The following is a 24214-nucleotide window of genomic DNA, read 5'->3' as shown; positions in this document are numbered from 1 at the left end:
TAACAACCCCGGATTCTTTCTGCCTCTGAAATTCAGAATCTGCCACTGACCATGACCACAAACAATATTTAATATGGATAGGAGCGATGACTCACGCCTGTAATTCCAACACTTTGGGAGGCCGAGGTGAGCGGATCGATTAAGCCCAGGAGCTCGAGACCAGCCTAGCCAACATGGCAAAACCCTGTCTCTACAAAAAAAAAAAAAAAAAATACAAAAATTAGCCAGGCATGTGCCTGTGGTCCCAGCTACTTTGGAGGCTGAGGTGGGAGGACCACCTGAGCCCAGGAGCCAGAGGTTGCAGTGAGCTGAGACTATACCACTGCACTCTAGCCTGGGCAACAGAACAAAACTACGCCTCAAAAAAAAAAAAAAATTTAATCTGTTCTTGCCTCAGTTCCTTATGTAAAAAATGAGGGCAACAACAGTAATTAACTCAAAGAATTATTGTAAGAATTAATTTAGTCAAAATATGTAATATAATAATATACATATGCAATGTGCAAGGCTCTGCAATGCATCAATCGAGTCTTTGCTATAATTCTTTCTGACCCTTACTTCATCTTGCGCACCACAAAACAAACATGAGATCTCAACTTTTTTCACCAATTGCATTAATATTTAACTTCTAGATAATCAAAGCTCACTAATCAGAAATATTTGTTTTTAAATATTTTCAAATTGCTACAATAATCGCTTACATATATGAAACTACATGCTCTTCCCTAAACAGTTCACTTTTTTAAATGCTCCCTTTTTTCACTCTTTTTTTTTCTTTATGTTTTTTAAGGTGGGGTCTCGCTCTCTCACCCAGACGAGTGCAGTGGCGTGACCTCGGTTCACTGCAACCTCTGCCTCCCAGCTTCAAGGGATTCTCCTGCCTCAGCCTCCCAAGTACCTGAGATTACAGGTGCATGCCACCACACTTGGCTAATTTTTGTATTTTTAGAAAAGACAGGGTTTCACCATGTTGGTCAGACTGGTCTCGAACTCCTGACCTCAAATGATCCACCCGCCTTGGCCTCCCAAAGTGCTGGGATTACAGGTGTGAACCACTGCACCTGGCCCCTTTTTTCTCTTTCAAAAGCATACGTACTTTCTGTAACCAGACAGTGGTAATAATTTTACAAAACTGTGAATATACTAAATAATCACTGAACTACAGTAACCTTAAAAATGTTGAATTTTATGTATATAAATTATGTACTTAAAAAAAAATACCTGAAATGATCCCCCTTTTCACCATAACACAATAGACTCCATTAGAAACAGGGAGAAGGATAACCGAAGACTAGGAGAAGGTTATTTATAATACATATATCTAACACAAGACATATTCAAAATTTCTGAAGAATTTCTATTAACTCAATAATAAAAGACAAACCACCCAATGAACACAATTGGCAAAGACTTGAATAGGCACTTCACCCAAAATAGAATATTCAGATACCCATAGCACAAAATGTGGTCAACATCATTGCAAATTGCTGAAACAAAAATTAAAGCGACAGTGAGATACCACTACTCATCCACTAGAATGGCCAAAATTAAAAGGATCGGTAGATGCCTGTAATCCCAGCACCTTGGAAGGCCGAGGCGGGTAGATCGTTGGAGGCCAGGAGGTGGGGGTTACATTTGAGATCGCACCACTGCACTCCAGCCTGGGTTACAGAAACTTTATCTCAAAAAAAAAAGAAAAGAAAAGAAAGGACTGGTAGTATTAAGATATCATATAGTTAAGAGGAATGAATATGTGTGTGTAATTAGAGGACATGTAAAGGAATGTCCATGGGGCAACTTGGTTAATAGTAGCCAAAGATGGTCGAGCATGGTGCCTCATGCCCGTAATGCCAGCATTTTGGGAGGTCACAGGGGGAGGATCGCTTGGGCCTGCGAGTTCGAAACCAGCCTGGGCAACGTGGCAAAACCCTCTCTCTACAAAAAATTAGCTGGACGTGGTAGCACAGGCCTGAATCCCAGCTACTTGGGAGACTGTAGTATGAGTAACACCTGAGCCAGGGAGATTGAGGCTGCAGTGCGTAGAGATCAGGCCACTGTACTCCAACATTGGTGACAGAGTGAGACCCCGTCTCAAAAAACAAAACAAAAAAAAATAGCAGCCAATGATTGGAAACAATCCAAATGCCCAAAAGGAAGTGAATGGATTTATCTGTACAGTGGAATACTACAGAGCAATGTTTTTAAATGACTGCTTGATACAATTCGTACAAATCTCGCTGATATTTTGTTGAGTGAACAAAAAGCCAGATACAAGAGTTCACACAACTAAGAGTTCATACAAGAGTTCATAAAGTAAGTATGAAAGAAATTAGAATATAGTCTGGGCAGATGGGTGGAGGGCAGGAGAAGAGATAGACCAGAAAAGGACATTAGAAATCTTGTCTTACTGAAATATTCTCTATCAGGATGGTAGTTACAAATGTGCATACGAACATAAGAAACAAATCATTAAACTGTTAAACAAGTGTGCATTAGACACAACTATACATTATATCAGACCTTCAAACAAAATGAAAAAAAAAAAAAAAAAAAAGCAGAGGCTCACCTCAAACATCACCTTATCACTTCCTCTCTCTATAGTCACCTGCCACTCATCTTCTACTATCCTTTCCCAGCCCCTGTTATAATTTAATTGATCCCTAACCCAGAGAATCTCATAGGTCACTATTGAAGAACTTACATTTCATTATTTAAGTTTCTTTAGATCTGTATAAACCCAGAGACTACAAGTTCCCTGAGTATAGAGGCCTGCTTTTCTTTTTTTTTTTTTTTTGAGACAGGGTCTCTCTCTCTCTCTCTGTCACCCAGGCTGGAGTGCAGTCTCAGCTCACTGCAGCCCCAAACACCCAGACTCAAGTGATCCTTCCACCTCACCTTCCTGAGTAGGTGGGTCTACAGGTACATGCCAACACGCCCGGCTAATTTTTGTATTTTTTTTGTACAGACAGGGTTTCGTCATGTTGCCCAGGCTGGTCTCAAACTCCTGGGCTTAAGCAATCTGCTTGTGTCAGCCTCCCAAAGTGCTGGGATTACAGCATGAGCCAGGACACCCGGCCTACTCTGTTTTTCTCATTACCTCGTTTCCATATTGCCCAGCATAGTGCCAGGTACTTCAGACATCAATGTTTTGTTGATTTAAATAATTCCTATGATTCATGTATGGAACAATACCTCACTAAATCATATACCTTAACTTTTTTTCTTTCAAAGACAATTTCTTTCCCCTCTCCAATAGGAAACGTCTACAGTTTCTAGAAGAGGATTTGGAAAAAACAAAAAACACAAAACATTTGTATAGGCTTTGAAATTAACCTGCATATACATCATCATCAACCAGCAGAAAGGCTGCCTTAAAATATACTTACACACACATACACACATGGAAATACAATGAAGATGTAAATGATTTAAATGATTCTTTTACTTTAATAAATAATCTCTTATATTTAGTGTGCACACACTGAACAAGAACTTCATGATGTAATTAGTACTACCAACTACACATTAGACAGGAAGTTAAAAAAGCAGTTCGCAGTCACATTTCCAGCAAATGTCACGGCCAAGATCTGCAGTATGACTACAGGAAACACTGGGGTGTTAAAGTAATAGGACCTGTGCCCCAGAAAATTAATTAGACCATTGATTTACTTATTCATTCATTTATTCATTTACTACCTCCTTCATTTTTTTCTTCAGAGACCACTTACTTAAAAAAAAAATTAAGAAAAAAAATCTGAACGGTTAGACATATGAAAAGATGTTCAACCTAACCCATAATGAAAGAAATACTAATTAAAACTATTAAGATGGGCCAGGCGCGGTGGCTCACACCTGTAATCCCAGCACTTTGTGAGGCCAAGGCGGGCGGATCACGAGGTCAAGAGATCGAGACCATCCTGGCCAACATGGTGAAACCCCGTTTCTACTAAAAATACAAAAATTAGCTGGGCGTGGTGGTGGGTACCTGTAGTCCCAGCTACTCGGGAGGCTGAGGCAGGAGAATCACTTGAACATGGGAAGCGGAGGTTGCAGTGAACCGAGATCACACCACTGCACTCCAGCCTGGCAACAGAGCACAGCAAGACTCCGTCTCAAAAAAATAAACTATTAAGATGTAACTTCTCTGAGACCAAGGGGAGGCGGATCACCAGAAGTCCAAGACCAGCCTGGCCAATGTAGTGAAACCCCATCTCTACTAAAAATACCAAAAAAAAAAAAAAAAAAAAAAAAATTGGCTGGGCGTTGTGGTGCCTGCCTGTAATCCCAGCTACTCCAGAGGCTGAAGCATGAGAATCAATTGAACTGAGGAGGTGGATGTTGCAGTGAGCCCACATCATGCCACTGCACTCCATCTAGCCTGGGCGACAGAGCCAAACTCTGTATCCCAACAAAAAACAAACAAACAAACAAAAAGATGTAATGTCTCACCTATGAGATTAGCAAAAATCCAAAAGTTTGACAATCCTCTCTCAGCAAAGCCTTGGAGACACTCCAACATTAGGCAGACACTCTAACATTACTGATGACGGCACTAGCTCTAGGGAACGACAATTTGGCAAGTTATCAAAATTAGCAATGTTTACATTAACCTTTGATCCACCCACTCACATCATTTTAGGGGATTTTTCCTACATACATAATTATACATGTACAAAATGATACATATTCAGGATTCATCACTATAGCACTATTTGTAACAATAAGACAAGAAGCAACCCAAGTGTATCTACAAAGTTTGGTTAAACCGCTAATATTACACAATGGAAAGCGATGAAGCTGAAAAAATGAGACTATTCACTATGAACTGATATGAAAAGATCCCAGCATAAAGTATATTCAAAAAGCAAGGTACAATCGGGAGGAGGAAGATGGAGATAGGAGAAAGGGCTAACATGCAGCTCCCACTTTGGCAGAGAGAACACCATGTGGAGACTCGCACCGTGAACTTTTGCTTCAAGAACCACCCCAGGAATATACCAGGCAAACCGAAAAAATTCACAGATCCTTTCAAAGAAGCGGTACACTGCTGCAAATTCCGTGAGACAGGTAAAAAACTGTGAGTTCCCAAAGTGTAAGAGAGAGAAAACCTGCCTCCACACACACAACCCCACTGGGGAATCTGAAAATCCAGATCATGGGAGACGAGACGGATTTAACCTTACCTAGGGCTGAAACAGATTTAAGGGAACGTGCAAAATATAAAAGTAGAAGCAGCAGTGGGAAATGCCTTGTAAGCATTCCCAGCCTCTAGCTAGAGCCCAGGGAAGCCATCCCCGACTATATCTCACAAGGGTACTAGCAGAAGACAGCCAGTAGAATTAGGGAAGGGTAACAGGGCAAAAGAAGCTTCTAAATGAGATAGTAACAATTTCAGCTGGACATGGATTTTCTTGAGCAGAAAAGGGAGGTGGCGAGGGAACAGGAACTGCTGCAGATACCAGCGCAGAGCTGCTGACAGAGTAGGCAGACGGGGAGGGGCGAGGTCTGAAGGCCTTGCTTTCTCAGCAGGGAAGCCTGGGGCAAGGTCTGAGCAGTACACCAAGGGAGTGAGAGTGGCTTCACCCACTGCATGGGAGCTGAATGAGGTCTCTCGCAACCAGGACTCTCACAACCCCCCACTTCCCTGGTGAACTATATGACACAGCAGAGGCAGCCAAAATCCCCTATGGAACATAACCCCACTGGCCTGAAAACCAACGCCCTATCTCCCACAGTGGCTGTGGCAAGCCCCGCCTAATGAAAGTGAGTCTGAGCCCAGTTCCGCCTAACCCTGCTCCCACCTGATGGTATTTCTCTACCTGCCCCTTTAGCAGAACAGGAAACATAGCCCCACCCATCTCGCCAGAAGCCAAAATACTTGCCCAGGCCAACTTAGGGCAAGCAATCTCCCTACTTAACTACTACTGCAACTGGTGCACTCTTCAAAGTGTCACCTCCTGGTTGGAGGCCAACCAATTCAGGCCATTAGAGCAACTCATGACAGAATAACCCAGATCCCAGGAAGCGGAAAACAACAGCTAATTCCACTGCCTGCGACATCCTGGCCAACCAGAGGTCCTGAGTGTGTCCACATTACAAGTTCATTGCTAGCATAACCAGTATTCAAGAAAGCAAGTACACTCAACATATCTACAACCGAACACCACCAAAGAGTCCACTTCACTCCCCTGCCACCTCCAGCAGAGCAGGTGCTGGTATCCACAGCTCGGAGACCTGAAGATGAATCACATCACAGGACTCCTTGTAGGCATTCCCCAGCACCATCCCAGAGCCTAGTAGCCCTGCTGCTGGATGGCTACACTCAGAAGAGCAATAACAATCACTGCAGTCCAGCTCTCAGGAAGCCCCATCCCTAGAGGAAGTGGGAGACAGCAGGCCCTGAGATCCAGTCTTTTCCACCGAAATAGTCTAAACAAATGAGAAGGAACCAGAAAAGTAATTCTGGTAATATGACAAAACAGGGTTCTATAACCCCAGTAATGTATCCAAACCAAGAATAAATTTCTGAATTTCCAGATAAAGAATTCAGAAGGTTGATTATTAAGATACTCAAGGAGATATCAGAGAAAGGTGAAAACCAAATTAAAGACAACAATACAGGATACGGATGAAAAATTCTCCAGAGAAAAAATATCATAAAGAAACAGCAATCACAACTTCTAGAAATAAAAGTCACACTTAGAGAAACAGAAAATGCACTGGAGGCTGGGCACCGTGGCTCATGCCTGTAATCCCAGCACTGTGGGAGGCTGAGGCAGGCAGATCAAATGAGTTCAGGAGTTCAAGGCCAGCCTTGCCACCACGGTGAAACCCCGTCTCTACTAAAAATACAAAATTTAGCCAGGCATGTTGGCAAGTGCCTGTAATCCCAGCTACTCGGGAGGATGAGGCATGAGAATCACTTGAACCCAGGAGGTGAAGGTGGGAGGTTGCAATAAACCAAGACTGTACCACTGCGCTCCAGCCTGGGTGACAGAACAAGACTCTGCCTCACAAAAAAAAAAAGAAAAGAAAAGAAACAACAATCACAACTTCTAGAAATAAAAGGCACACTTAAGAGAAACAGAAAACGCACTGAAGGCCAGGCACAGTGGCTCATGCCTGTAATCCCAGCACTCTGGGAGGCAGAGGCGGGTGGATCACCTGAGGTCAGCAGTTCAAGACGAGCCTGGCCAACATGATGAAACCCTGCCTCTACTAAAAAAATACAAAACTTAGCTGGGTGTGGTGGTGGGCACCTGTAATCCCAGTTACTCGGGAGGATGAGGCAAGAGAATCACTTGAACCTGGAAGGCGGAGGTTGAAGTGAGTGGAGATAGCATCACTACACTCCAGCCTGGGCAACAGAGTGAGACTCGGTCTCAAAAAAAAAAAAAAAAAAAAAAAAAAGGATGCACTGCAAAGTTTCAATAACAGTAGAAGAAAGAATTTCAGAGCTCAAAGACAAGGCTTTCGAAATAACCCAATCAGACAAAGACAAAGAAAAGACACTTAAAAAAAAATTAACAAAGTCTCCACGAAATGTGGGATTACATCAAACAACCAAACCTAAGAATAACTGGTGTTTCTGAGAAAGAAGAGAAATCTACAAGTTTGGAAAACTTACTCGAGGTGAATAACTGAGGAAAACTTCCCTGGCCTTGCTAAAGAGGTAGACACCCAAATACAAGAAGCTCAAAGAACAACTGAGAAATTCCTCCCAAAAATATTATCACCTAGGCACACAGTCATCAGGTTATCTAAAGTCAAGATGCAGGAAAGAATATTACGAGTTGTGGGACAAAAGCATCAGATAACCTATAAAGAAAAACCTATCAGATTAACAGCAGACTTCTCAGCAGAAACCTTACAAGCCAGAAGAGACTGGGGTACCACCTTCTGCTGCCTGAAACAATAATTATCAGCCAAGAATATTGTATCCAGCAAAACTAAGCTTCATAAATGAAGGAGAGATCAAGTCTTTTTCAGACAAAGGCTAAGAGAATTTGTCACTACCAAGCCAGCACTACAAGAAATGCTAAAAGAAGTTCTAAATCTTGAAATAAAACCTCGAAACACACCAAAATAGAACCTCCTTGGCAGGGCGCAGTGGCCCATGCCTGTAATCCCAGCACTCTGGGAGGCCGAGGTGGGCAGATCACCTGAGGTCAGGAATTCAAGACCAGCCTGGCCAACATGGAGAAACCCTGTCTCTAGTAAAAAATACAAAAATTAGCCAGGCGTGGTGGTGGGCACCTATAATCCCAGCTACTTGGGAGGGTGAGGCAGGCAGAATTGCTTGAACCCAAGAGGCTGAGGTTGCAGTGAGCCAAGATTGTGCCACTGCACTCCAGCCTGGGCAACAGAGTGAGACTCCATGACAAAAACAAGACAAAAAGAATCTCCTTAAAGCATAAATCTCATAGGACCTATAAAACAATAACACAATGAAGAAAAAAAAACAGCTATTAAGGCAACAACAAGCATGATGAATACAACAGTACTTCATATCTCAATACTAACACCGAATGTAAATGGCCTAAATGCTACATTTAAAAGGTATGGAATGGGAAAATGGATAAAATTCCACCAACCAAGTATCTGCTGTCTTCAAGAGACTCACCTAACACATAAGGACTCAAATAAACTTAAGGTAAAGGGGTGGAAAAAGATACTCCATGCAAATAGAAACCAAAAGCAAGCAGGCATAGCTATTATTATATCAAATATAACAGACTTTAAAGCAACAATAGTAAAAAAAAAAAAAAAAAAAAAAAAAAAAAAACCCACAAAGAGGTGACATTAAATAATAATAAAAGAATTAGTCCAACAGGAAAATAACAATCCTAAATATATATGCACCCAACTGGAGCTCCCAAATTTATAAAATAATTACTAAACCTAAGAAATAGGATAGACAGCAACACAATAAACACAGTAAAATAATAATAATCCTAGCAACATAATTATGTAATAATAATTGTATCCTGACTTCAGATAACCTGATGACTGTGTGCCTAGGTGATGATCTTTTTGTGATGAATTTCTCAGCTGTTCTTTGAGCTTCTTGTATTTGGATATCTACATCTCTAGCAAGGCCAGGGAAGTTTTCCTCAGTTATTCCCCTCAAGTAAGTTTTCCAAATAATAGTGGGGGACTTCAATACTCCACTGACAGCATTAGACAGGTCATCAAGACCGAAAGTCAACAAAGAAATAATGGATTTAAACTACACCCTGTAACAAATTAACTTAACAAGTATTTACAGAACATTCTACCAAAAACTGCAGAATATACTTTTTTTTGAGGCCCGTCACCCTGGTTAAAGTGCAGTGGCACAATCTTGGCTCATGGCAATCTCTGCCTCCCAGGCTCAGGCAATCCTCCCACTTCAGCCTCCCGCATAGCTAGGACTACAAGTGTGCACCACCATGTTCAACTAATTCTTTTATTTTTTGTTGAGACAAGGTTTTGCCATGTTGCCCAGGCTGGTCTCAAACTCCTGAGCTAAAGCAATCCACCTGCTTCGGCCTCCCAAAGTGCGAGACCTACCATGCCTGGCCAGGATATACATTATTTTCATCAGGACATGGATAGACCAAGATAGACCATATGATAGGTCACAAAACAAGTCTCTATAAATTTTTTAAAAAATCTAAATTATATCAAGTATCCTATCAGACCACAGTGGAATGAAACTGGAAATTAACTCCAAAAGGAACCCTCAAAACTACACAAACACATGGAAATTAAATAATCTGCTCCTGAATGATCCTTGAGTCAACAATGAAATCAAGGTGGAAATTAAAAAATTATTTGAACAATAATAGTGTCACAACTTATCAAAACCAGTGGGCAACAGCAAAAGCGGTGCTAAGAGGAAAAGTTCATAGCATTAAATGCCTACATCAAATGCCAGGCAAGGTGGTTGACGTCTATAATTCCAGCACTTTAGGAGGCCTAGGCAGGTGGATCACCTGAGGTCAGGAGTTTGAGACCAGCCTGGGCAACATGGTGAAACCCTGTAAAAATACAAAACTTAGCTGGGTGTGGTGGCCCACACCTGTAATCTCAGCTTACTTGGGAGGCTGAGACAGGAGACTCACTTGAACCCAGGAAGCAGAGGTTGCAGTGAGCTGAGATCATGCCACTGCACTCCAGCCTGGGCGACAGAGTGAGACTCTGTCTCAAAAAAAAAGAAAAGTCTGAAAGGTCACAAATAGGCAATCTAAGGTCATACCTCAAGGAACTAGAGAAACAAGAAAGAACAAACAAAACCCAAACCCAGTAGAAGAAAAGAAATAACAAAGACCAGAGTGGTGCTAAATGAAACCAAAAGAACAACAACAATACAAAAGGTAAATGAACAAGCTGGTTCTTTGAAAAGACAAAAGTGACAGACCATTAGTGAAACTAACCAAGAAAAGAAGAACGATATCTAAATAAGCCCAATTAGAAACAAAACAAAAGATATTACAACCAATACCACAGAAATACAAAAGATCATTCAAGGCTACTATGAACACCTTTACATGCACGAAGTAGAAAATGTAGAGGAGAGGATAAACTCTGGGAAATACACGACCCTTCTGGGACCAGTTGGATTCACAGCTGAACTCTATCAGACATTCAAAGAAAAACTGGTGCCAATCTTAATGTAACTATTCCAAAAGACAGAGAAAGAGGGAATCCTCCCTAAGTCATTCTATGAAGCCAGTATCACCCTAATACCAAAATCAGGAAAGGACATAACAAAAAAATAAATCTACAGACCAATATCCCTGATAACAGATGCAAACATCCTCAACAAAATACTAGCTAACCGAATCCAACAGCCTATCAAAAAGATAATCCACCATGATCAAGTGGGTTTCATACCATGGATGCAGAGATGGTTTAACATACACAAGTCAGTAAATGTGATGTATCACATAAAAAGAACTGAAAATCATGTGATCTCAATAGATGCAGAAAAAGCATATAACAAAAAAATCCAGCATCCCTTTATGATTAAAACCCTCAACAAAACTGGCACAGAAGTAACATACCTTAACGTAATAAACAAACCCACAGCCCATATTCTACTGAACGGGGAAAAGTTGAAAGCATTCCCCGTGACAACTGGAAGAAGACAAGGATGGTCCACCCTCACCACTTCCATTCAACATAAGTACTAGAAGTCCTAGCCAGAGCAATCAGAGAAAAGAAATAAAGGACATCCGAATAGGTAAGAGGAAATAAAACTGTCGCTGTTTGCTGACGATATGATCATATACCTAGGAAACCCTAAAGACTCATCCAAAAAGCTTGTAATCTGATAAATTCAGTAAACTTTCAGGATACAAAAATCAACGTAAATTAATAACACTGCTCTACACCAACAATGACGAAGTTGAGAAACAACTAAAGAACTTAACCCCTATTACAAAAGCTACAAAAAAATAAAATACTTAGGAATATACCTAACCAAGGAGGTGAAAGACCTCTACAAGGAAAACTACAAAACACTGCTGAAAGAAATCATCGACAACACCAACAAATGAAAACACATCCCATGCTCATGGATGGGTAGAATTAATATTGTGAATATGACAATACTGCCAAAAGCAATCTACAGATTCAACGCAATTCCCATCAAAGTACCATCATCAATCTTCACAGAACTAGAAACACACTATCCTAAAATTCATATGGAACCGAAAGAGAGCCCAGATAGCCAAAGCAAGACTAAGCAAAAAGAGCAAATCTGGAGGTATCACATTATCTGACTTTTTATACTGCAAGGCTATGCTTACCAAAACAGCATGGTCCTGGAATAAAACAGACACATAGACCAATGTAATAGAGATCCCAGAAATAAAGCCAAATATTGGTGACTCACGCCTGTAATCCCAGCATTTTGGGAGGCTAAGGCGGGCGGATCACTTGAGGTCAGGAGTTCGAGACCAGCCTGACCAACAGGGTGAAGCTCTGTCTCTACTAAAAATTTAAAAATTAGCCAGACATAGTGGCAGCCACCTGTAATCCCAGCTACTCGGGAGTCTGAGGCGGGAGAATTGCTTGAACTCGGGAGGCAGAGGTTGCAGTAAGTCAAGATCACACCACTGCAGTCCAGCCTGGGTGACAGAGCGAGACTCAGTCTCAAAAAAATAAAAACTAAAAACCATAAAGTGGGGAAAGGACACCCTTTGCAACAAATGCTGCTGGGATAACTGCCAAGCCACATGTAGAAGAATGAAACTGGATCCTCATTTCTCACCTTATACAAAAATCAACTCAAGATGGAGCAAAGACTTAAATCTAAGACCTTAAACCATAAAAATTCTGGAAGATAACATTGGAAAAACTCTTCCAGACATTGGCTTAGGCAAAGAGTTTATGACCAAGAACCCTAAAGCAAATGCAATAAGAACAACAACAAACAGATGAAACCTAATTAAACTAAAAAGCTTCTGCACATAAAAAGAAATAATCAGCAGATTATCAGCTTCTGCACATAAAAGAAATAATCAGCAGAATAAACAGACAACCCACAGAATGGGAGAAAATATTTGCAAACTATGCATCCAACAAAGGACTAATGTTCAAAATTGACAAGGCACTCAAAGAAATCAACAAGAAAAAAATAATAATAATCCCATCGAAAAGTGGGCAAATTACATGAATAAGCATTTCTCAAAAGAAGATATACAACACAATACCACCTTATTCCTACAATAATGGCCATAATTTAAAAGGCAAAAAACAACAGATGTTGGCATGGATGTGGTGAAAAGGGAACACTTTTACACTGCTGGTGAGAATATAATACAACCACTATAGAAAACCGTACAGAGATTTCTTAAAGAACTAAAAGTAGAACTACCATTTGATCCTGCAATCCCACTACTGGGATTGTCACTATATGAATGACACTGGGAAAAAGTCATTATATGAATGACTACTGGGAAAAGTCATTATATGAAAAAGACACTTGCACACACAAGTGTGCCCTTCAATCAATAAGTGGATAAAGAAAATGCAGTATATATATATATACACACACATACACACATACATACATACATACCATGGAATACTACTCAAGCCATAAGAAGGAACAAAATATGGCTTTCACAGAAACCTGGATGGAGTTGGAGACCATTATTCTAAGTGAAGTAATTCAGGAAAGGAAAATCAAATATCGTTTTGTTCTCACTTATAATTAGGAGCTAAGCTATGAGCAGGCATAAGAATGATATAATAGACTTTGGGGACTAGGAGGGAAGGGTGGGGGTGGTTAGGTATAAAAGACTACACAGTGGGTACAGTGTACAGTGTACACAGCTCAGGTGACAGGTGCACCAAAATCTCAGAAATCACCACTAAGGAATTTATCCAATGTAACCAAAAACCACCTGTTCCCCAAAAACTATTCAAATTAGGGCCAGGTGTGGTTAATCCCAGCACTTTGGGAGGCCAAGGTGGGCAGATCACGAGGTCAAGAGTCCAAGACCAGCCTGGCCAACATGGTGAAACCCCATCTCTACTAAGAGTATAAAAATTCGCCAGGCGTGATGGCGCATGCCGGTAATCCCAGCTACTCGGGAGGCTGAGGCAGGAGAATCGCTGGAACCCAAGAGGCGGAGGTTGCAGTGAGCCAAGATCATGCCACTGTACCCCAGCCCGGGCAACAGAGCAAGACTCCATCTTGAGGGGGGAAAAAAAAACTATTCAAATTAAAACAAAAAAGCAAGGTACCCATATACAATATAGTATTTCAAGAATGGAAGAAACTTGGTATATAGAAAAACAAGTATATAGAAAAACAAGTAATCTGTGTATTTAAAGCTGCTCTAAAATTAAGTTTGTTTCTTTTTAAAGCAAGGCACAGACAGTATTTAATTTACTAGACTTTGTGTAAGAAAGAAAGGAGAATGAGACTACATATTTATCTGCTTATGGTTGCATAAGGAAATACTAGAAAAAAAATCACAAGAAACAAATAATAATTATATATTTGGGAGGAAGGGGGGAAACAGGAAAAAGAGAGAGACAAATAATTCTTAGTGTAAACCTTTGCTATAATGTTTTAACTTGCTGATTGCTTTTTCCAAAAAGGTTGTTTTTAAAAGCAACTCCACAAGAATTACCTCACTCTCTACAAAACCCAAGGGAAATAACTGGCACAGTATTCATTCCAGTAAATGTGGTTTTAACAACTATTAAACTCCTTTAAACATAAACTGTTAATCTCTATGGTATATGCTGCTTTCCATAAATAGAAACCAAAATACTTAATTTTTCATAAAGATAAATGGAAAAGATTTTTACAGAAACTTGCTCTTTATAAAGATTTCCCAGAATACATCTAATTTGACAAAAGTGATTTACAACTAATTACAACTAAGCTCAGTAGTGTGACCTCAAAACTGAGTGAAAGGAATCAAATCCTTTAATGTCCTACAATTTATTTATTTTATATAATAGTCAATGTTGTTTGCTAATGAAAATGCCGAAACCTTTAACAATAAGAAAACATAATCAGACCACAAGGTATTAAAAAAAACCAACATGGCTTCCAGTCATTAGTCTACCCACTAGCTATTTTCAAGACCCTAATCCAACAGCAACATTTCTCCTGTACTTCAAATAGAAAAAAATTGATCAAATGAGCTTTATCTCCATCTACTTTTGAAATTCAATGCGTGTACAAGAATGTTAAAACAAATGGTTGTTTTTAAAAAAATTTAGAGGAGCTTTTAATTATGCCTATTAGGAAACATGTCAGCTTAAGCTAACATTTAAAAGAAAAAACAGCCAGGCGCAGTGGCTCATGCCTGTAATCCCAGCACTTTGGGTGGCCAAGGCGGGAGAATCACCTGAGGTCAAGAGTTCAAGACCATCCTGGCCAACATGGTGAAACACCATCTCTACTAAAAGTACAAAAATTAGCCAGGTGTGGTGGCACACGCCTGTAGTCCCAGCTACTCAGGAGACTGAGGCAGGAAAATCAATTGAACACAGCAGGTGGAGGCTGCAGGGAGCCAAGATGGCACCATTGCACTCCAGCCTGGGCAACAGAGTGAGACTCTTCTGTCATAAATAAATAAATAAATAAATAAATAAATAAATAAATAAATAAATTTTATATACATGCATCCTTACCTTGAAAGGTTTGTCTCCACTGTGTGTCAGCATATGCCTTTGTAACCAACTTTGACTGGTAGATGGAGTGTTATATACTTTACAACCTTTCCATAAGCAAACAAATACCTGTTAAGAAAAACAGAACCATATTAATTTTCATGACTTATCTCAAGAAGAGTTTGATTCCTCATACATTCAAATTAACATGTTACAACTCTTCAACTGACAAGAGCTACTGAATGTACAAGCCAATCAAAATGCTTAATATACATAAACTGTCAAAACATCCTAGTATAAGCCACCCTTAATGCTACTGTCCACACCTTCGATAAGGAATTAACACACCGATCACAGAATACCATTCAGAAGGAAATATATATAATATTAGCAATATATCCCTTGGAACTGAGACCATGGGCCATTATTTACATTTTTGTATTTACTGCACAAAAGAACAAACATCTATTAATTTTAAATAGGAAAAATACACCTTTTACCTTTTATGAAAGGTATATTTTGTAAAAATATACCTTTTTAAAGGTATAAAAAAATTAATGAAATGACCAATAAATGTTAATTAGAAGATACTGATATTTTCAACTTCAAAGAATGAATGAAAATTATCAAATTACAATCTTTTACTGGTGATATCCTGGTCTCACATGCATACTGACAATATTTGTTCCCATATTGTTCTAATCATGAAGAATTATTTCTATCTCGATTATGACATAGAGAGATATTTGAGACCCTGTCTGGAATATGAAATTTTGTAATGAAACAAATAGAATACGAAATATTAAGTGAATATAGTAATAAAAACAACAGACATGAGCTACCCTACTTTCATAACAGATCCACATTCTAGGTTCAGGGTACTAAGTATAACTAGGTGTGGAAAGCACCAAAACTAACAAATTAATCTTTATCATCTTCCTACCAGTGACATGTCAATTTCCTAACTGATGCTATTTCCATCAAACCAAACACTGAAAACTGCTTCCCAACATCAGGTAAAGAAGGGTCTACCACAATCATTATCTTGAAAGAATCATTATCTTGAAAGGCTCTGTTCTTTTCTAAGGTTAAGAACAATTACAGAGTCACACTTTGAAGACTGTAATATACTACATACATATAGAACACAAGAAAGATATACAAAGAACTGAAGAATCTTTCTTCAGCCAGCCTAAAATAAAATTTTTAATAGACTAGAAAAACTGACAGTCTATAAACAAATAATTGAGGTCAATTTTTACTCAAAAACAATACCATCTTATGTCAAATAGGTATAACAAGGCAATACCACCACTGCCATTTGACAAGACTGTTTAGAGAAGTTACTGCATATCCTGACTCCACAACGAATTTGCTAGTTTCTTTAAGTATGAGATAAAGGAAGTCATAACGTTTCCTCCTTCATACTCAAAATTCCCAACCCTAGAACATGTTTATAAACTAATGGCCAAGGTTCTCAGAGTTAAAAGTAACTTTTAAAAATAAATGTAGGAACAGAAAAAAAATACAAAGCAATACTTATATGCACCCGATGTGGTGGCTCACACCAGCAATTCCAGCACTTTGGGAGACCGAGGTAGGGGGACGGCTTGAGCTCAGGAGTTCGAGACCAGCCTGGGCAACACAGCAAGACCCTGTCTCTACAAAAGTAACAAAAAAAATTGGCTAGGCATAATGGCATATGCACTCGTAGTCCCAGCTACTCAGGGGTGGTGGTGGGGCATAGGGCTAGCAGCTGAGGCAGGATGATTGCTTAAGTCCAAGAGATGGAGGCTGCAGTGAGCCATGATGGCACTACTGCACTCCAGTGTAGGTGACACAGTGAGACCTTCTCTCCAAAAAAAAAAACTTAAATGCTATAGAAATTAATTCAATATTGTTTAATAATCACACATGGGTAATTAATGCTATCAATTTTTGAAATCAAGACTACTAGACTCACCAGGCACAGTGGCTCACACCTCTAACCCCAGCACTTTGGAAGGCCAAGGCAGGAGGATTGCTTGAGCCCAGGAATGAGGCCAGCCTGGGCAACATGCCATAACCCTGTCTATACAAAATATACAAAAATTAACCAGGCATGGTGGTGCCCACCTGTGGTCCCAGCTACTTAAGAGGCTGAGGTGGGAGAATTGCTTGCACTGGAGAGGGCAAGGCTACAATGAACTGCTATAATCATGCCACTGCACTCCAGCCTGGGCAGTAAGAGACAGATCATCTCTCAAGAAAAAAAAACACAACTACTACTAGATTCAAAGTGTTACTCTGCAATCCAAGTAACAAAGAGGAGGAATCAGGGGTTGGTTTAAAATTCTCTCAGAAATCATATTATTAGTTTGGTGCACAAGTCATTGCCGTTTTTGCCATTAATTGAAAAAAAACGCAATTACTTGTGCACCAACCTAATACGTAAACAGAAATGCCTTAAAGAAAGTATTTGGGAACAATATCAACATCATTCCTGTAACAACTTTTTTGACAGAAGGATTCTCCTTAATGTTAAAAGGATTCTTAAGTGACCCCCCCGCCCTACTCTGAAATACTCTTAAAGATAAGATTTAGTTCCTTCGAAATAAGCACTGCCTCTACCTAACAACACTCAATCACTAAATTTGGTAGAAACAGCAGTATCTGGCTTCTAATTTTTTTCCTATGAGCAAACATGACTATAGAGATAATGGCAGGTCTGAAATCACATCTGATACAGCCTTATTAAGTATGGTTTAGACTCTACATGGAATAATGTCTAGTAACACGATTAAGGCAACACCTTCAGATTCAAAGAAAAACCAAAATCTTCAGCCTAGTGAATTTTATACCAAATGAAGTAGGCGTAAAGAGATCAAAGTTAACTGTGTTTAGCTATATTGGGGTGAAATGTGTAGAAAGATCCAAAAAAGGCCTGGTGTAATGGCTCATGCCTGTAATCCTAACACTTTAGGAGGCCGAGGTGGGTGGATCACTTCAGGCCAGGAGTTCGAGACCAGCCTGACCAACATGGTGAAACCATGTCTCTACTGAAAATACAAAATTAGCCGAGTGTGGTGGCACATGCCTGTAACCTCAGCTACTCAGGAGGCTGAGGCAGGAGAATCGCTTGAACCTGGGAGGGGGAGGTTCCAGTGAGCTGAGATTGCGCCATTGCACTCAAACCTGCACTCAAAGCAAAACTCCGTCTTAAAAAAAAAAAAGAAAAAAGAAAGATCCACAAAAATACACAAAACTGTTCGAGGCTATATTTTCTTTCTTAGCCTGTATTAGGACGACGTTTTGATAAAAATACTCCCAAATCTGACAAAAGGGTCTTCTTCAAATCTGAGACTTTTTAGACGTATAATATCTGAAAAACATTTTTATGCTATTTTTAGAAACTCTCCTACTGTTAAAATTAACCCTGAAAAATCAAATACCAAAGGATTCCAATTACATCCAAATTTGGAAGAAGTATGTTCAAGAATATAATTTGCCATGGTTCTTCTATTTTAAAATGAATTAAGGTCTGGCTATTTTAACAGAATAAGACACAGGGGTCCCAAGTCCAGTCTCTCATGGTACAGCAAATTGTGTTGTATTAGGTTGTATCAGACATAACAGAAATAGAAAACAACCTGCTGAGCACAGTGACTTGTGCGTAGAATCCCAGCTGCTCTGGAGGCTGAGGCAAGATGATGGCTAGAAGACAGATTTCAAACCAGTATGGGCAACAAAGCAAGATCCCAACTCTGAAAATGTTTAAATTAGCCAGACGTGGTGATGCATGCCTGTAGTCCCAACTACTACACTAGAGGTAGAAGGATTGCTTGAGTCCAGGAGTTTGAGGCTATGTGAGCTAAGATCATGCCACTGCTAAACTGAATTCAATCCAGTTCTTTCACTTTGCAGCTATGTAATCTTGGAAGAATCATCTACTTCCTTTTTCATCAGAAATACTCTGAGCACACGTGGTAAGTCCAAAACACTATGAAAATATAAGATGTTATATTATCTCAGAAAGACCAGCCAATGAAACAACTGGGTTTATATTAGACACTGAAGGTTCCTTCTCAAAGTAACTGCCATCAGGTTTTCCTGCCAGAATGTCCAGGAAAAAAAAATTTTAAACCCACACAGCCATTAAAAGAATATTTTTGGGCCAGGTGCAGTGGCTCACGCCTGTAATCCCAGCACTCTGAGAGGCCGAGGTGAGTGGATCACTTGAGGTCAGGAGTTCAAGACCAGCCTGGCCAACATGGCGAAACCCCACCTCTACTAAAAATACAAAAACTTAACCAGGTGTGATGACACACGCCTGTAATCCCAGCTACTTGGGAGGCTGAGGGAGGAGGATCGCTTGAACCTGGGAGGCGAAAGTTGCAGTGAGCTGAGATGGCGCCACTACACTCCAGCCTGGGTGACAGAGTGAGACCCCATCTCAAAAAACATACATATATTTTTGGACTGCTAAAGAAATCTTCAAGTTCCTTACATGTAAGATGTAGATGTCTAAAATTTCAGTGTTACAGGGAGGTTTTGGCTTTCTGTTGAGAACTCTACAAAGTACTGAGTTTCTGTCAGAACAGGTTTTGCCTCTGGGAATCTTCTCCAAAATGCCCAAAGTGAATAAGAATGGTACAAACCTAGGAGCCAAGGGTAGTCTGAGTCTCCTTCACTTTGGTCAATATCCTTGAACCAGTGTATGAACCAGTGTATCCTTGTACCAGTGTATGTATCTGAATGTATTTGAATGGCCTATACTTAAAATGGCTTGTATGATAATATAGATAAATGCACAAACATCTATGCACCTGAAGAACACAAATGAATCCATGAAATCTTTCTGTAAATAAATGAAAAATCCACTGCAAAAAAGTGCAATGTTAATCTGTCAGAGTAAGTATGCACAAGGAAATTCAGTTATTACCAGTAAATTAAAATCAGCCAAATATATTCTAAATGCAGAGCAAGTTAACAGAATAATCTACATGCCAAAATAAAGGCCTAATTATACTGAGTAAATGATCTTGTTTTCAGTAAAATTACACAAAAAGAAAAGAGAGACACCATCTAAAGTCAGATAGGCCAGGTGAGTGTGGTGATATATGCCTGGAATCCCAGGAACTCAAGAAGCTGAGATGGGAGCACTGCTTAAGCCCAGGAGCTGGACAACATAGTAAGACTAGCTTGGACAACATAGTAAGACTGTCTCATTAAAAACACATACACACACACACACACACACACACACACACAAAGTCAGGCAGAGGGGTTGGATGGATGATTCCACGGTACCACCAAGCCCAATTTTTATTTTCTTTTTCTTTTTTTTAATGAGACAGAGTCTTGCTCTATCATCCAGGCTGGAAGGCAGTGGCACAATTATAGCTCACTGCAACCTTGACCTCCTGAGTGCTATAGTTAACTGGACTCATTCAAGTCTTCCAATAATACTGTACCATATTCCTCCCTTGCCCACAATCTCCTCGCTTTGCCTCTCAACAAAAAAACACACCAAAGAATATATGCAAAAGTAAACCTCAAATGACACAGAAAATAAATCCTATATCAAGAAACCTAAACCTCTGGCTTTCTTTCCAGAAATTGTTTTTATGTGAGAAATAGCTAAGAAAGAACAGTAATATATTTTACACTGAGCCTCTAAAGTCCTACAAGTTCCCCACTTTCCAAGACTTATATTAAGAGGACACTGGGATTTGAAATTCGATTAGTAAGATAACTCAGAGTCTAATCTTCAGAAACCAGTCACACATAGACGTACGGACCTAGGCCGGGCACGGTGGCTCAGGCCTGTAATCCCAGCACTTTGGGAGCCAGAGGCGGGTGGATCACCTGAGGTCAGGTGTTCGAGACTAGGCGGGCCAACATGGTGAAACCCCATCTCTACTAAAAATACAAAAGTAAGTCAGGTGTGGTGGCGCACACCTGTAGTCCCAGCTACTTAGGAGGCTGACACAGGAGCATCACTCGAACCTGGGAGGTGGAGGTTGCAGTGAGTGGAGATTGCACCACTGCATTTCAGCCTGGGCAACAATAACAAAATTCTATCATACTTAACACTAGAGATAGGTTTGATTCTCTCTTTGCCTGTTTTGTTTTTATTTTTGAAATTGCAGAAAGCACTCTCATGATGTTTTTAAAAAAAAAGGTGTATTGGTCTGGGCATGGTGGCTCACACCTGTAATCCTAGCACTTTGGGAGGCCAAGGCAAGACCAGCATGGGCAACACAGTGAGACCTCATCTCTGTTTAAGAAAAAAAAGTGTATTCATAATTTGGTGTTTAGATTAGTTTAATTTTAATGTAGAAATCAGGCCAGGAAAATCTAAACTCCACTTGACTTCAGCCTCCAAAGAAGTCCACATGAACATAGCAACATAAACAACTTAAAAGGGGGAAAAAAACAATGCTAAGTGGATATATAATGGTTTTGCTTTTCTCCCCAGGGCAAAGATTATAGTGGAATGAGAAAAAGAACAGAAATTAATATAGTTTAGATCTTGCTAACTTACTGCTCCAGTAAAACTGTCATCTTTCAATAATCAGAAGCATAAAATCTTCTAGGGTTACCAATTTTTTCCTCATCTGTTTCTGTTCCATGATGACACTTTAACACTTAAGAGAGAAAGAAGAAATAAGAAATCTAAAAAAATAATTAGGCCAACAAAATCAGGTGTTTTCTACTTATATTAGATACCTACAACAGTCAAACACACAGAGATAGAAAGTAGAACTGTGGTTACCAGGAGCTAGTAAGAGCAGAGAGTAAGTTTGTTTAATGGGTATAGATTTCAATTTGGGATGATAATTTACAAGTTCTGGAGACAGAGAGCGGGTGGCGATTACACAATAAGGTGAATGTACTTAAAGCCCCTGAACTATACATTAAAAATGTTTTTTGTTCTTTTTTTTGAGACAGGATCTCACTCTGTCATCCAGGCTGGAGTGCGGTGGCACGATCTCACAGCAGCCTCAACCTCCTGGGCTCAAGCAATTCTCCCACCTCATCCCCCGGAGTGGCTAAGACCACAGGCGTGTGCCACTACACCCAGCTAATTTTTGTAGAGACAGGATTTTGTCACGTTGCCCAGGCTGGACTCAAAACTCCTGAGCTCAAGCGATCTACCAACCTCAGCTTTCCAAAGTGCTGGGATTACTGTGACCAGCCGAAAATGTTTTTGTTTTTTTAAAGTTCATTTCAAAGAAAAAAATCTGATGTTCCTACCAACAACTACTCTTCAAAAGACAAAACCCGCTAGGCATGGTGGCTCAGAGGCCTGTAATCCCAGCACCTTGGGAGGCTGAGGAGGATGATCAAGTCCTCCTCAGGAACTCCTGAGATCAGGAGTTCGAGACCAGCCTGTCCAATATGGTGAAATCCCATCTATACTAAAAATACAAAAATTGGCTGGGCGTGGTGGTGCACACTTGTAATCCCAGCTACTCAAGATGCTGAGGCAGCAGAATTGCTTGAACCCAGGAGACGGAGGCTGTAGTGAGCTGAGGTCGTGCCACTGCACTCCAGCCCGGGAAACAGAGCAACACTCCATCTCAAAAAAAAAAAAAAAAAAGAAAAAACAATCACAAAAGCCAATCTCAAAGCACAAAATCAGATCAAGTTTTCTTGTCTTTTATAGTAGTACTAAGTTTCCAAACTCTCATTCATATTTTATCATTCAAAACACATAGTCTATTGTAATCTCAGCATTTTCAGAGGCCAAGGCGGGCAGATCGCTTGAGTCGAGGAGTTGGAGACCAGCCTGGGCAACATGGTGAAACCTCATCTCTACAAACAAACAAACCATAGTCTATATTCTAATGACTGGTATGTAGGAAAAAACTGGGATGCATTTCCTACATTATTTGATCCTTTACATTTATAGTTTAGCAAATAATGTCCTTCAAAGATCAGGACTCCTATCTTTGATCAAAATAACATTACTCTTTTTATTTTATTTATTTTTTTTTTGAGACAGAGTCTCATTCTGTCACCCAGGCTGGAGTGCAGTGGCGTGATCTCAGCTCACTGCAACCTCCGCCTCCCGGGTTCAAGCGGTTCTTCTGTCTCAGCCTCCTGAGTAGCTGGGACTACAGGGGGACGCAACTATACCCAGCTAATTTTTGTATTTTTTAGTAGAGACGGGGTTTCACCATATTGGCCAGGCTGGTCTCAAACTCCTGACCCCGTGATCCGCGCGCCTCAGCCTCCCAAAGTGCTGGGATTATAGGCACGAGCCACCGCGCCCGGCCAAACAGCATCACTCTTAAAATCAGCTAGAGAATCTTATTATTGGTAATCAAGTGATATTTTTGAATAAGGGTTCAAGAAATCACATGGGAGATTTTTCATTTCAATATTACACTTACGGGACAAATGCCAACATTTCATGTCTAATTCTATAATATCAATAAGGTACAGGTATATAATTACTGTGATTACATGACATATTTAATTATTTTAAAAACCAGTCTTGGCCGGGTGCGATGGCTCACACTTGTAATCCTAGCACTTTGGGAGGCCGAGGCGGGTGGATCACCTGAGGTCAGGAGTTCGAGACCAGCCTGGCCAACATGGTGAAACCCCATCTCTACCAAAAATACAAAAAAATTTAGCCAGGCATGGTGGCTCAGGCCTGTAATCCCAGCTACTCGGGAGGGTGAGGCAGGAGAATCACCTGAACCCGGGAGGCAGAGGTTGCAGTGAGCTGAGACCGCACCATTACCCTCCAGCCTGGGCAACAAGAACCAAACTCTGTCTCAAAAAAAAAAATTAATTAATTAATTTTAAAAAAATAAAAATAAAATAAAAATCAGACTGTAACTGCATTTTTTCTACAAATCTGGGAAGGGCTGAAATTCTCATCAGGTTGTATGCCAGCTCAACTTGTGGGATTCCAAGACTCAGAAATGTGAAATTCTCCCTCTCCCACATCTACTAAGAGAAGCCCAGTGATCTTCCAAATAGCTCATGATTCTATACACAGTTGCTAAGTCAAGTGACAAAAAAGCATCATGCCATGATGCTCAAAAATGGTATATACCAAGTGACATCAAGCACTGGCTCACAAAAAGCA

The 24214-nt window shown here is 40.2% G+C and overlaps 1 protein-coding gene across 8 annotated transcripts in view, besides 3 other annotated features; it reads right to left on the bottom strand.

Moving 5' to 3' along the window:
• Positions 1-24214, bottom strand: part of AEBP2 (AE binding protein 2) — a 118156-nt gene that overhangs the window by 33725 nt on the left and 60217 nt on the right. For 7 of the 8 annotated variants that reach the window (XM_047428299.1, XM_017018806.2, NM_153207.5 and 4 more), the window contains exon 3: positions 15148-15255. In XM_047428299.1, the coding sequence (XP_047284255.1) occupies positions 15148-15255 (108 nt within the window). Of the gene's footprint in view, positions 1-15147; positions 15256-21652; positions 21756-24214 lie in introns of those variants that run through there. The other variant, XM_011520560.2, reaches the window with a different exon arrangement.
• Positions 5139-5640: an enhancer, noted in NCBI's record as "H3K27ac-H3K4me1 hESC enhancer chr12:19635797-19636298 (GRCh37/hg19 assembly coordinates)". NCBI's record gives its function as "activates a minimal SCP1, AML or CMV promoter by ChIP-STARR-seq in primed H9 embryonic stem cells {active_cell/tissue: H9 hESC(primed)}" and the evidence as "EXISTENCE:reporter gene assay evidence [ECO:0000049][PMID:30033119]".
• Positions 5139-5648: a biological region, named in NCBI's record as "Sharpr-MPRA regulatory region 4185".
• Positions 5354-5648: a silencer, noted in NCBI's record as "tiled region #4185; K562 Repressive DNase matched - State 5:Enh". NCBI's record gives its function as "represses a minimal TATA promoter and a strong SV40 promoter by Sharpr-MPRA in K562 cells {active_cell/tissue: K562}" and the evidence as "EXISTENCE:reporter gene assay evidence [ECO:0000049][PMID:27701403]".

The sequence above is a fragment of the Homo sapiens genome, chromosome 12, assembly GCF_000001405.40.
Source record: "Homo sapiens chromosome 12, GRCh38.p14 Primary Assembly".
Taxonomy (NCBI): domain Eukaryota; kingdom Metazoa; phylum Chordata; class Mammalia; order Primates; family Hominidae; genus Homo; species Homo sapiens.
This window is presented reverse-complemented; position numbering and strand designations above follow the sequence as displayed.